At 36.2% G+C, this 15231-nt stretch overlaps 1 long non-coding RNA gene across 1 annotated transcript in view; it reads right to left on the bottom strand.

The window, feature by feature from the left end:
• The window catches only part of LINC02161 (long intergenic non-protein coding RNA 2161), a 213063-nt gene that overhangs the window by 109214 nt on the left and 88618 nt on the right, over nt 1-15231 (bottom strand). The window lies entirely within an intron of this gene.

Raw genomic sequence — 15231 nt, 5'->3', positions numbered from 1 at the left:
GTTTGCCAGGCTGGTCCCAAACTCCTGACCTCAAGTGGTTTGCCAGCCTCGGCCTCCCAAAGTGCTGGGATTACAGGTGTGAGCCACTGCGCCTGGCCAACTATTTATTTTTTAAGGATATTTTTCCTTTAAACTTGTTGTTCACTAATTTGACAATGATATATCTAATGCAGTTTTATTTGTACTTATCTTACATGTATTCTTTGAGCATTTTATTTCTTTTTTAAAAATTTTTATGTTTAACTTCTGTGGATACATAGTAGGTTTGTATCTTTGTGGGGTACATGAGATGTTTTGATACAGCAGGCAATATGAAATAATCATGTCATGGAGAATGAAGTATCCATCCCCTCAAGTATTTTTCCTTGGAGTAACAAACAATCCAATTACACTCTTTAAGTTATTTTAAAATGTACAAAAAATTTATTATTGCCTATAGTCATCCTATTGTGCTATCAAATAGTAGGTCTTCTATATTCTTTCTAATTTTTTGTGCCCATTAACTATCCCCACCTCACCCACAGCACCCACACTGCACTACCCTTCCAAGCCTTCAGTAACCATCATTCTACTCTCTCTGTCCATGAGTTCAATTGTTTTGATTTTTAGATTCCACAAATAATTAAGAACATGTGCTGTTTTTCTTTCTATGCCTGGCTTATTTCAATTAACATAATGATCTCCAGTTCCATCCATGTTGTTGCAAATAACTATATGTCATTCTTTTATATGGCTGAATAGTACTCCATTGCTCCATTGTGTATACTTGCCACATTTTCTTTATCCACTAATCTGTTGATGTACCCTTATGTTGCTTCCAAATCTTAGCTATTGTAAATACAGCTGCAACAAATATAGGAGTGCAGATATCTCCTCAATATACAGATTTCCTTTCTTTTGGGTATATACCCAGCTGTGGGTTGCTGGATCATAATGGTAGCTCAACGTTTAGTCTTTTGAGGAACCTCCAAACTGTTCTCCAAAGTGACTGCGTAATTTACATTCTCACCAACAATGTACAGGGTTCCCTTTTCTCCGCATCTTTGCCAGTGTTTGTTATTGCCTGTATTTTGGATATGAGCCATTTTAACTGGGGTGAGATGACATCGCACTGATTTGCATTTTTCTGATGACCAGTGATGTTGAGCCTGTTTGCCCTTTGTGTGTCTTCTTTTGAGAAATGTCTATTCAAATCTTTTGCCAATTTTTGATCACATTATTAGTTGTTTTTTTTTTTTGTATAGTTGTTTGAGCTTCTGATATATTCTGGTTATTAATTCTTTGTCAGATGAGTAGTTTGCAATTATCTCCCATTCTGTGGGTTGTCTCTTCACTATGCTGACTGTATTTTTTGCTGTGTAGAAGCATTTCAGCTTGATGTGATCCCATTTCTCCATTTTTGCTTTGGTTGCCTGTGCTTGTGGGTTATTACTCAATAAATTTTTGCCCAGACCAATGTCCTGGAGATTTTCCTTCCATGTTTTCTTGTAGTAGTTTCACAGATTCAGGTCTTAGATTTAAGGCTTTAATATATTTTGATTTGATTTTTTATGTGGGGAGAGATAGGGCTCTAGTTTCATTCTTTGAATATGGAAATCCAGTTTTCTAACACCATTAATTAAAGAGACTGTCTTTTCCCCAGTGTGTGTTCCTGGCAGCCTTGTCAAAAATTAGTTCACTATAGATGAATTTGTTTCTGCGTCCTCTATTCTGTTCTATTGGTCTATGTGCATGTATTTTATGCTAGTTTTGATCACTGTAGTCCTGTAGTATAATTGGAAGTCAGGTAATGTGATTCCTCCAGTTGTTCTTTTTGCTTAGAATAGCTTTGGCTATTCTGGGTCTTTTGTGGTTCCATATAAATTTCAGGATTGTTCATTGTATTTCTGTGAAGAATGTTATTGGTAATTTGATGAAGATTTCATTGAATCCGTAGATTGCTTTGGGTAGTATGGACATTTTAACAGTGTTGATTCTTCCAATCCATGAACATGGAATAGTTTCTCATTTTTTGATGTCCTCTTCAATTTCTTTCATCAGTATTTTATAGTTTTCATTAAAGAAATCTTTCACTTCTTTTGTTAAGTGAATTCCTAGTACTTAATTTTGTGTGTGGCTATTGTAAATGGGATTTTTTTAATTTCCTTTTCACATTGTTTACTGTTGGTATTTAAAAAACGCTGCTGATGTACGTATGTAGATTTTGTATTCTGCAATTTGACTGAATTTGTTTATCAGTTCTAATAAGTTTCTTTTTGAGTCTTATAGTTTTTCCAAATATAAGATCATATCATCTGCAAACACAATAATTTCACTTCTTCTTTTCCAATTTGGATGCTCTTTATTTTTTTCTGTTGTCTGATAGTTGTAGCTGGGACTTCCAGTACGATGTTGAATAACAGTGGTGACAGTGGGCATCCTTGTTATGTTTCAGATCTTAGAGGAAAGCCTTTCTAATTTTCCCCATTCCGTATGATACTAGCTGTGGGTCTGTCATATATGGCTTGTATCATGTTAAGGTATCTTCCTTCTATCTCCAGTGTTTTGAATATTTTTCTCATGAAAGGATGAATGCTTTTTCAACACCAATTAAAATAATCATATGGTATTTATCCTTCATTCTGTTGGTATACCACATTGGTTTGCACATGTTGAGCCATCCTTGCATCCCAGGAATATTTTTTACTTGGTCATGATAAATGACCTTTCTAATGTATTTTTTTTTCTTTTGAGACAGAGTTTCACTGTTGTTGTCCAGGCTGGAGTGCAATGGTGCAGTCTTGGCTCACTGCAACCTCCACCTCCCAGATTCAAGCGATTCTCCTGCCTCAGCTTCCCAAGTAACTGCGATTACAGGCATGCACCACCACACCTGGCTAATTTTGAGTTTTTAGTAGAGACAGGGTTTCGCCCTGTTGGTCAGGCTGGTCTCAAACTCCTGACCTCAGGTGATCCACCTGCCTCAGCCTCCCAAAGTTCTGGGATTACAGGTGTGAGCCACCACGCTTGGCCTCTAATGTATTGTTGAATTCGGTTTGCTAGTATTTTTGTAGAAGATTTTTGAGTCAATACTCATCAGATATATTGGCCTGTATTTTTCTTTACTTGATATATCTTTGTTTCCATAACAGGGTAATACTGGTCTCATAGAATGAGTTTAAAAGTATTCTCTCATCTATTTTTTGGAATAGTTTGAATAGGTTTGGTATCAGTTCTTCTTCAAGCATTTGGTAGAATTCAGCAGTGAAGCCATCAGGTTCTGGGCTTTCTTTACTGAGAGAATATTATGGCTTTTTTTTTTTTTAAGACAGAGTCTTGCTCTATCACTCAGACTGGAGTGCAGTGGCACAGTCTCGGCACACTGCAACCTCTGCCTCCCAGGCTCAAGCAATTTTTGTGCCCTCCAGAGTAGCTGGGAATACAGGTGCATGCCACCTCACCCGGCTAATTATTGTATTTTCAGTAGAGACAGATTTTCACCATTTTGCCCAGTCTGGTCTCAAACTTCTGACCTCAACTGATCCACCCACCTTGGCCTCCCAAAATGCTAGGATGTCAGGCATGAGCCATCCTGCCCAGTCATTTTATTATGGCTTCTATCTCATTACTTGTTGTTGGTCTGTTCAGGTTTTGGATTTCTTCCTGGATCAATCTTGGTAGGTTACATGTATCTAGGAATTTGTATATTTCTTCTAAATATTCCACTTTATTGGCATATAATTGCTCATAGTAGCCACTAATGATTCTTTGATTTTCTATAGTATCAGTTGTAATATCTGCTTTCTTATTTCTGATTTTATTTTTTTGGATATTCTATCTTTGTTTCTTAGTCTGGCTAAAGGTTTCTCAATTTTGTTTAACTTTTCAAAAAATCCACTGTTTCATTGGTCTTTGGTATTTTTTAAAATTTCAATTTCATTTATTTCTGCACTGATCTTTATTATTTATTTTCTTCTGTTAATTTGGGGTTTGGTTTGCTTTTGTTTTTCTAGTTCTTTAAGATACACCATTATATTGTTTATTTGAATATTTTCCTTTTTTTAATGTAGGCACTTATAGGTATAAACTTCCCCCTTAGTACTGCTTTTGCTGTATCCCATAGGTTTTGGCATGTTGTTTCCATTATCGTTTGTTTTAAGAGAATTTTCAATTTCCTTCTTAATTTCTTCATTGACCCACTAGTCATTCAGTAGCATATTATTTAATTTCCATGTATTTGTATAGTTTCCGAAATTCCTCTTGTTATTGATTTCTAGTTTTATTCCATTGTGGTCAGACAAGATGCTTGATATTATTTCAATTTCTTTTGAATGTTTCAGGACTTGTTTTGTGTCCTAATGATATGGTGTATCCTTGAGAATGATTCATGTGCTGAGGAAAAGAATGTGTATTCTGCAGCTCTTGGATGACATGTTCTGTAAATACCTATTAGATTCATTTGGTCTGTAGTGAAGATTAAATCTGATGTTTCTTTGTGGATTTTCTGTCTGGAAGATCAGTTTAATGCTGAAAATGGGGTGTTGAAGTCTCCAGCTCTTATTGTATTAGAGCCTATTCCTCTCGTTAGCTATAATAATATTTCCTTTATGTGTCTGGGTGCTCCAGTGTTTAGTGCATATATATTTCAAATTGTTTTATCCTCTTTTGAATTGTCCATTATATCAATATATAGTGACTAACATTGTCTCTTCTTGTAGTTTTTGTCTTAAAATTTATTTTGTTTAAGTATAGCACTCCTCGTTTGTTTGTTTATTTCGATTGGCATGAAATATCTTTTTCCATCTGTTTATTTTCAGTCTATGTGTGTCTTTATAGGTGAAGTGTGTTTCTTGTAGACAACAGATGAATGGGTCTTGTTTTTTTCATCCATTCAGCAAGTCTATGTCTTGATTGGAGAGTTTATTCCATTTACATTCAATGTTATTATTGATGAGAAAAGACTTTTGCCATTTTGTTGTTTTCTGGTTGCTTTGTGATCTTCTCTTCCTTCCTTCTTTCTTTCCTTCCTATCTTCCTATAGTGAAGGTGATTTTCTCTGGTGATATAATTTAGTTTCTTGCTTTTGATTTTTTGTATACTCATCATGTTTTTTGGTTTGAGGTTACCATGAGGCTTGCAAACATAATCTTTTAACTTATTATTTTAACCTGATAACAACATAACACTATTTGCATAAACAAACAGACAAGGAAAAAGACTAATAAAAACTCTATGCCTTAACTTCATTTCCTCACTTTTTAATGTTTTTATGTTTCTATTTTTATCTTACCATATTGACTATGTCTTGAAAAGTTGTTGTAGTTATTTTTTATTGGTTCGTTGTTTAGTCTTTCTACTTAGGATAAGACTAGTTTATACATCGCAGTTACAGTGTTATAATATTCTGTGTTTTCCTGTGCACTTACTATTATCAGTGATTTCTGTACCTTCAGATAATTATTTATTGCTGCTGAATGTCTTTTTCTTTCTGTTTGAAGTACTCCCTTTAGCATTTCTAGTAGGACAGGCCTGGTACTGATGAAATACCTCTGCTTTTGTCTGGGAAATTCTTTATTTATCCTTTATGTTTGAAGGATATTTTTGCCAGATATACTATTCTAGGGTAATTTTTTTTTCTTCTGCACTTTTAATATGTCATGCCACTGTCTCCTGGCCTGTAAATTTTCCACTGAAAAGTCTGCTGCCAGACATATTGGATCTCCATTGTTTGTTATGTCTTTTCTCTTGCTGCATTTAGGATCCTTTCTTTATCTTTGATGTTTGGGAGTTTGATTATTAAATGCCTTGAGGTAGTCTTCTTTGGCTTAGATCTGCTTGGTATTCTATAACCTTCTTGTGCTTGGATATTGATATATTTCTCTAGGTTTGGGAATATCTGTTATTATCTCTTTGAATAAGCTTTCTATCCCTATCTCTTTCTCTATCTCATCTTTAAGGTCAATAACTCTTAGATTTGCCCTTTTAATGTTATTTTCTAGATCAGGTAGGCATGCTTCATTGTTTTTTATTCTTTTTCCTTTTGTCTCCTCTGACTGTGTATTTTCAAATATCCTGTCTTCAGGCTCATGGATTCTTTCTTCTTCTTGATCAATTCTGCTATTAAACAACCCTCATGCATTCTTCACTATGCCATTTGCATTTTTCAGCTCCAGAATTTCTGCTTGATGCTTTTTAATTATTCTAATCTTTTTGTTCAATTTATCTGATAGAATTTGGAATCCTTCTCTGTGTTATTTTCTTTGAATTTCTTCAACACAATTATTTTGAATTATCTGTTTGAAAGGTCACATAACTCTATCTCTCCAGGATGGGTCCGTGGTCCCTTATTTAGTTCATTTTGTGAGGTCATATTTTTCTCAATGGTGTAGATGCTAGTAGATGTTCTTTGATGTCTGGGCATTGAAAAGTTATGTATTTATTGTAGTCATCACTGTGTGGGCTTACTTGTAGTTGCCCTTCTTGGGGAGGATTTCCAGATATTTGAAAATATTTGGATGTTGTGACCTAAGCTCTATCTGCTTTAGGGGACACCCCAAGCCCAGTAATCCTGTAGTTCAAACTCACAGAGGTACCACCTTGATGGTCTTGACAAGATCCAGTGGGTTCCTAGGCAGAGACTCTTGCTCACTTCCCTTACTTTTCCCCATGCATACAGAGTCTCTGTCTCTCTTTCTGTTCTGAGCCATCTAAAGGTGTTGCATGGAGTGACACAAACATCCCTGTGGCCACCACCACTGTGACTGCACTGAGTCAGTTCTGAAGCCAACACAGCACCAGGTTTTGCCTAAGGCCTGCTGTCAGCACTCCCTGGCTACTGCTTATGTTTGCTGAAGGTCCTGGGGCTCTACAATCAGCAGGTAGCAAAGCCAGCCAGGCCTATGTCTTTCCCTTCAGGGTAGTGAGGTCCCCCAGACCCCAGGTGCATTCAGAAGTGCCATTTGGAAGTCAGGGACTACAGTCAAAAACCTTAGAAACCTACATGGTGTTCTACTGTATTGCAGTTGAGCTGTCACTCAAATCACAAGATGCAGTCCTTCCTACTCTTCCCTGCCCTTTCCAAAGTCAGAGGATCCTCACCTCATATCCACTGGCTCCCCAGGCCATGAGGAGTACTGCCAGACTACTAAAGATATTCCCTTAACAACGTCTCATGTAAGTCAACTTGTAGTGAGTGCTGCCTGGCCTGGGACTCACGCTTCAGAGCAGTGGGCTCCCTTCTGGCCCAGGGGAGGCCCTGAAATGCTGTCCAAGAGTCAAGTCCTAATTTGGGGATCCCAAGAGCCCCCTGGTTCTCTACCTTTCTGTGGCCATGGTGGTACCTAAGATGCAAGACAAGGTCCTCTTTACTTTTCCCTCTGCTGTTCTCAAGCAAAAGGAGTTTTTCCCCTTAGCCACCACATCTGGGAATCTGGAGTCTCACTAGAAGCCAGGAAGTCTCAGAGGTTCACTCAGTCCCCTCGATGTAGTGCCTGGTTGTCACTGCTGGTTAACCAAGGGTCCAATAGCTCTTCAGTTAGCAGGTGATGAATGCTGCTAGGACTGGCTTCTTTCCTTCAAGGCAACAGGTTCCCTTTTAGTCCAGCATGTGTCTACAAATGTCATCTGTGAGCTGGGGCCTGGAACAGAGATTTCAAGGAGTCAGACTGGTGCCTCTCCTACTGTGGCTGAGCTGGTGTCCTAGATACAAAACAAAGTCCTCCCCACTCTTTCTTTTTCTCTCCTCACATGGAAGAAGGGGGTCTCTTTTGGAGTCATGAGGTATGCAACCTGAGATTAGGGGAGGGGTGATGCCAACACTCCCTTGGCTGCTCCAGGTAGTGTCTCAGTAGTTCATGTGGCCTCCCAGTCCACTGTCTCTGGGCCCAGTTCAGCACTAGGACTTCCTTAGGGTATCAGTCCTTAGGGCCTAGACTGCCTTTTAAGTTTACTTGGAAACACAGAATGCTGTAGCCCTTGGTGGCATGGGTTGCAGTCACTTAAGGTCACTGGGATCAGTGATTTCCATCTGATTCCACCTCCTTCTTGGGCAGGTGTCAGCTAAGTTTGGTCTGGTTTTCTTTTCTGCTCTGATGAGACAGCGCTGAGTTCAATGTCAGCAATTACTGTGCTCCCCCTTTTTCAGTGCCCAGAGATGTGCTCTGCACCATGCTGTCACTGCTGGAGGGTCGGGGAGGGGTGGTGTCCTAAGATTCAGAACTATTTTTTTCTATCTCTTCAGTGCCTCTTTCAGCACTATGGAGTTGAAACTAGGTACTGTGAGTGCTCACCTGAGTTTTGGTTTGTATGAAAGTGTTTTTTCCTGTGTAGATAGTTATCTTGATGTCCTTTCATGGGGACTGATGGTGGAGCTTTCTTTTTCACCATCTGGCTCTGCCTCCTCTCCCTGATCATTTTAAATAGCTGGGCTGTTCAAATTTTTAAATTGTTTCTCCTTGTCTTTGGGGACTCTTGTTATACAAATGTTATATTATACTATTTGTCTCTTACAAGCTGTTCTTAGTTTTTTGGGTTTTTTTTTTTTTTAGTTTCTTTTCCCTTAATCTATGTGCTTCAATTTTGATAATTTCTATTGACCTATTTTCAAATTCCTTGATCCTTTCTGCTACCATGTGCAGTTTGCTACTAAGCTCCATATTCAAATATTTCTTAATTTCAGATTTTTAAAAATTTCAGTTATAGAATGTCAATATGTCCTTTAGATTCCATTTCTCTACTGAGAATGTATATCTGTTCTTCCAATTTTTTAACATATTGATAATTATAATTTTAAAGTCTATAATCTACTAACTCCAAATTCTAATTCATTTGTGGGTCTGCTTCTATATATTTATTGTTCTCTTCTTTTCATGTCTCATCATTTTTGACAGTAGAAAAGACTTCGTATTTAATAGCATCAAGTAATTTGGAATCATTTTCTCCAGAAAGGGCACATTCCTTGCTCTGTCAATCTGCTAGGATAAAGAGTTGACTATTTTGATCCAAATAGGAATTCAGATGAGTTGGGTCTGGTTTGCAGCCTGAGTTTCAGTTTATTACTGATTTTAAATGTCTTAAGAGTGAGATCATTCTGAATAATTTCAGACAGACACTCTCTAGAAAACATTTGGGACTGAAGCACTACAAGACTATGGAGATCACCCTCTGAGTTCCAAATCAGCCCATAGCATTCTGTGCTGCCACTCTCCACAAAAGTCCCTTGGAAGTGCCTGGCCAAAAAATCAGCTCTGAGTTTCTGAATCCTATAGATTCCAATCCAATATACCAGCCCATTAAACTATTAAAACCATGCTGCAACGGAATTCTGCCATTTGTTGCCTACTTATTCTCAACATGGCTAATGTTCACAGAAAGGGAAGTGGTGTTGCTATTTGTTGAAAATTTGTTGAAAAATGTGGTCTTTCTTCTCTGAAAACTCGTTATTTAAAATTTATTTTTCTACATTTTCTGAAGTCATGTGTGTTCATGTGTGTTTGTAATTTTACTCTGTTCTGGTTGATAATTATGATTATTTGTACTTCCTGCATGGATGTGGAACTCCCCAGAATACCAGCACTTCACTCATGCTCATTTAAAGTCTTAAGAAGTAATTGATATACTGTTGCTGATTTTATTTATGTTAAAAGATCGTGTTATATAGGTAGGTGATGGTAATCTCTCAATAGTCAGTAGAATGTCTGCGTCATGACAACAGCTATTGTTTATGGAGTTCTTACCTTGAGGCAGCTAATTTTCTAAGTGCTTTACATATATTACCTAATTTAATCCCTACAGCATCCCTATGAGTTAGGGACTATTATTAACCTTTTTATACACATGGGGAGACTGATGCATGGAGAGTTTAGGTGACCTCTCAAGGACATACACCTTGGAGTCAAGATTTAAACCCAAGTAGTCTTTTTCAGAGCCCAAACTCTTAATCACTATACGTATTATGGTATTGAGTAAACATTTAACCTGGTTATTTTCAGAATTGTTCCTCACTCCTCTCTCTGTTCATACTTTAGAAATATGTTTTTTTTTCTATTTTTTTATTTCAATAGGTTTTTAGGAAACAGGTGGTGTTTGGTTACATGAATAACTTATTTAGTGATGATTTCTGAGATTTTGGTGCACTCATCACCCGAGCAGTATACACTGTACCCAGCATGTGGTCTTTTATCCCTCACCCCGCTCCCATCCATTCCCTCAAGTCCCCAAAGACCATTGTATTATTCTTATGCCTTTGCATCTTCATAGCTTAGCTCCCACTTATGAGTGAGAACATATGATGTTTGGTTTTCCATTCCTGAGTTACTTCACTTAGAATAATGGTCTCCAATCCCATCCAGGTTGCTGCAAATGCCATTATTTCATTCTTTTTTTATGGCTGAGTAGTATCCCTTGGTACATATATGTATATATATCACAATGTCTTTATCCAGTCATTGATAGATAGACAGCAACTCAGTAATAGTGGGGGACATCAATACCCCACTGACAGCACTAGACAGTTCATCAGGACAGAAAGTCAACAAGAAAAACAATGGATTTAGAAAAATGTTTTACATAGTCCTCCAGTTATATTATTCCCTCTTATACCTCAATCTCTTTTCACATACTCTGTAGCCTACCAGGATTTACTTCTATTCCTTGTTTACATTTTTTTTTTTCGAGACAGAGTTTCACTCTTGTCACCCAGGCTGGAGTGCAATGGCGCGATCTCCACTCACTGCAACCTCTGACTCCCGGGTTCAAGCGATTCTTCTGCCTCAGCCCCAGAGTAGCTGGGATTATAGGTGCCCACCACCATGCCTGGCTCCTTCTTTACATTTATCTTTCCTTTATAATTCAGCTCAGCTATCACCTCCCTCAGAAATTTTTATTACTTACAATGAATAATACCCTGTACATATATCACATTAGCATTTAACCAATTGTATGTAACATCTTTATGTATGTATATCTCACCCACTAGTCTGTAAGATCCTGAAGAATAAGAACTAGAGCTTATCAATTTATTTATACACAATGCCTAATAATGCTTGAAATATTATAGTCACTGAATATATGTTTACTAAACTAATTTCAATCCTATTTGTTCCTAAAATTTACTCTCAATAAAAATGTAAAAGATTAGAAATCTTTGTAATGCTGTATGGGCTATCTTGTTCAAAAAATTAAAACTTAATAGTCTCAAAATGAATGTTGTCATACATTTTGGGAGATCACCTTAGCTAGAGTTAAAATAGAAAGGAAAGTGGATATTTAAAACTATGAAATTATTCACTTTAATTTTTATCTCTATTTTAATACCTAAAAACAAAATTCAAGTCTCCTATTTCAAATTAAACTACTATTCATTCTTAACTAATAATACCTTTATGTGCCTGACACTTCAGGTGGAATGATTAAATTATGCACCTGTAGAAAGATCTCAGAAAGCAATGACAGGTATTACAAACCTACTATGTTCCTGGGTACTTTTTAAAAAGTATTGTATTTAAAAATTAAGACATTGACTTCAATTCATTGTTTCTCTTGTATATGACATTCTTCTTTTTTTCTTTGGAATCACAATTTGGGCTGTGAATATTCATTTCCTTAACTTTGCTTTGCTTTTCATAGAATTTATCCCATAGAGCATTGTGCTGCTTAGCTTTGTTAGGTAGTTACTTTAAGCAAGGAAGCAGAGGTATAGAAGCGCTTGATTTTTCTCAAATGAAAAAACATTTGATACCACATTCTCTGTAAAAAACCAAAAAAAAAAAAAATAATAGGGTCAATGGTGGGCTGTACACTGAGGGATTAAGCCAGAGCACAGTCTTTAAGTCACCTCTTTCCATCCTTTGCATATGTAGAATATGTTTTGCTGAATTGCATGGGTTAAATGCATTTGCTCTATTGATTTGTAAAGTTGAAGTCCTCTCACAGCAGCTTGGGGTAAACTCCCCAAATAACTTCTTATTTAGTTCTTGCAAAGTTGTTTATGCTTGAAACCTTCTTGGATTCATTTTATGCTTTACAAGGAATGTATATAGCACCCAACTATAAAAACTGCTGAGAGTGCCAATCCTAAGAAAGAAGAAACAGAAGATTTAGTTTTGACATCTTGTGTTCTAAAATTGGAGGTTCAGGCCAGGCGCATTGGCTCACGCTCATAATCCCAGCACTTTGGGAGGCCGAGGCTAGTGGATCACTTGAGGTCAAGAGTTCGAGACCAGCCTGACCAACATGGAGAAACTACGTCTCTACTAAAAATACAAAATTAGCCAGGCATGGTGGTGCACGCATGTAATCCCAGCTACTCAGGAGGCTGAGGCAGGGGAATCACTTGAACCTGGAAGGTGGAGTTTGCAGTGAGCAGAGATCACGCCACTGCACTCCAACCTGGGCGACAGAGGGATACTCCGTCTCAAGATAAATAAATAAATAATAAAATTGATGGTTCAGTGAGTGACTCCCCTGCTATTCTTTGAATTTCTATCTTATTTCTTTCTAATCTAAGTTCTTTGTTTCTCAGATCCCTAACCAGAAAACATGTTTGTTTTGTCTTTCTAAAAGTGCTACATGTGCTTTTTCTATGGAACAAAAAAGAGCAATCATCTGACAACCACTTTCCTGGATGAAGGTGTCCGGTATGGTAGGAAAAGTTTTTCAAGTGTCTGGGGCAATACTGTCACATCTATTCACCAGAGAAGTTGCAGTATTTTATGTTAAGACAATTTATTTAATCTCCTAAAAGGGATCGTTGCATCAATGAGACTCAGGCTTGTGACAGATTTTAATGTAATAGGAAAAGATCTATGCACCAATTCATTTCCTGTGGCAGTCAATGTCCTCTCTTTTCCAGGGGGAGTGGGAGCACCAGTTCTAATAAACTGTCTTCAAGTTTGAATCTAGAAATCATTCCCCCTCCCAAATAATGTCTAAAATCAGTGTAACCTAATTGACCCTTCTTCTTACCTTCAGCCTTTATAGGTAGAATATGGGCCAAAGATATTTTCTCTTCTCTTTTGCAACCACTCATAATTACCTATACTCCTTGGTAAACTTTGATTCTCACTACAAACATAATAATTTAAAAAGTCAGAGAAAGTAGAGTTCTATTTTCCCCTCCAACTTAAACTTCTTTATATGTATCTAAAAACCATACATGAAGAATAAAATAAAGTTATATTAATATATGTGAGTGTATTTATATGCATGCACTTCTATGTTTATATATTCATACATTTATTCATATATTTAATTAGAAAATAATTTATCATTATTGCATAGTGACAAAATTTGAAGTTTGGAAACAAATCTGTTTAAAATATTATCTTATAAGCTATGTGAACTTAGGCCAATTAATTTCCATGAGATATAATTTTTATAAGAAAAATGAGGATACTAATACCTGTCTTGTAGTGTTGCAATAAGGAGCATACTGATATATTATATAAAACATTCAGCATAATTCCTGGAACATAATAGGAGTCCAACAAGTAGCAGTTATTAATATTTATTCTGCTACTTCTATACTTTCTAGTCATTGGAAAAAGTGCTCAGAGATACACAATCAAAGAAAACATAACATCTTTTCTTAAGAGCCTCAAAGTCTACTAAGAAAGACTGGAAAAAGCAGCAACAACTAAAATATAGGGTGATGACTACTATTAAAAATATTAAAGGCTTAGGTATACCTTCAAGTAAAGTGGAGTAGGGCAAGAATCTGTGAGGCAATGGTTGACAAAAACATTTGTATCTTTACTGACTTAATTGACAATAGTTACAAAGGGGCTTTTATTCTATTACTTAATTTTAATTTATTGAGTATATTTTTTATTGTTTAGTAGTTTTTATTTCTAGTTAAGATCTATTATACTATGAGCTTGAATATCAGAAAAATAGAGGGTACCATTTAACTCAGAAATGTTGGCTAGTCTTGGAATTATAAGGAAGGCTTACACCAACAAAGGATCTCTAAGAATACAGTAATGTGTGTTGGAACACACGCTTTGCTGTGGACTTCTCAATTGATGTGAAAATCAATTGGATTTGTCAAAATGAACTTTAGATGTTTAGAGATTATCAGTATTTTCCTATCATTCCTATAATACTGAAACAATTTCCCCCAATTTCAAAGTTTTAGCACATATAATAGTTTAATATATAAAGAAGAGTCTGTAAGGTGGAATGAAGTAGTTTGCAGAGAACTCTAAAAGATATAGAAGTGAGTATGGTCCAGACCACAATAAAATACAATAACCCTAAAAGTTACTGGGTGTCTGGATCAGCAGCTGGAATTAGAAGACTGATACAGCATACATAGGAACTTTGTCCATTATTCTGATGTGGATAACAGAACTTAAAATGTGTAAGTTTCACAGAATCACTCTTCTATGCTTTTTGAGAGAGAAGTTAGAAGAATTTGATATAGTATGAGCCTTTAGCTGATACAGAGAGATGAGAAATCTGAGTTGTTAATAATTAAGTGAGAGTAGCTGGCATGAATAGAAAATGAAGTACTTAGAAGGGAACACAAAATAAGAATAATGAGGAATTAAAGAAAAAATACAAAGAATTCCAGCATGGATAAGAAATAGAAATACTTAGGAATCAAAATTCAAGAAAATATGGAAGAAAATAAAACAATATATGAAACAGAAAAACTGACATTAATACAAGTTTTTAAACAAACATAAAAATTTTAGCCTAAATATTCTTATTATAGCTCCCTTTCTTGTTTCTCTCCTTCGGATTCTAGATAGTTTTTAAAAACTCACATATTTTTATCCTTATTTTCTTGCTATTTTTCATGGCTACGGAAGCGGGAAGAGAAAAATGAAAATCGCCCAAGGTGAAACGTATATCAGAAGCTGAGCTGTGACTTTGACTTAGATGTACCTGAATCCATCACACCACCTGTACTTTCTGAATTTTAATTGTATCTTTTTACAAATATGGAGAAAGTACAGCAAGTTATTTATACATATAGCTTTAAAATATTTTGTCACAAGTATTTGTAGCTCTAATCTCCTCTTTAATCTGTTTTGCCCCAAATATTCATCTCACTTTGCTGATTTTCTCTGACGTTAGAGTTCACTTAAGTTTCAATTTTAGGAAGTTGGCTTTTTAATAAGATTTCTTTAAATAGTTTCCATGTTTAGCCAACCTTGCAGTTCTTAACAGTAAATGGAAGAACAAATAGCGAGCATAAGGAAAAAAATCAGTGTGTTTAACTTCCAGATGAAACCAAAATTTGGGATT

The sequence above is a fragment of the Homo sapiens genome, chromosome 5 (genome assembly GCF_000001405.40).
Source record: "Homo sapiens chromosome 5, GRCh38.p14 Primary Assembly".
Lineage (NCBI taxonomy): Eukaryota > Metazoa > Chordata > Mammalia > Primates > Hominidae > Homo > Homo sapiens.
Note: the sequence above shows the minus strand (reverse complement) of the source record. Positions and strands in the feature narration are given on the sequence as shown.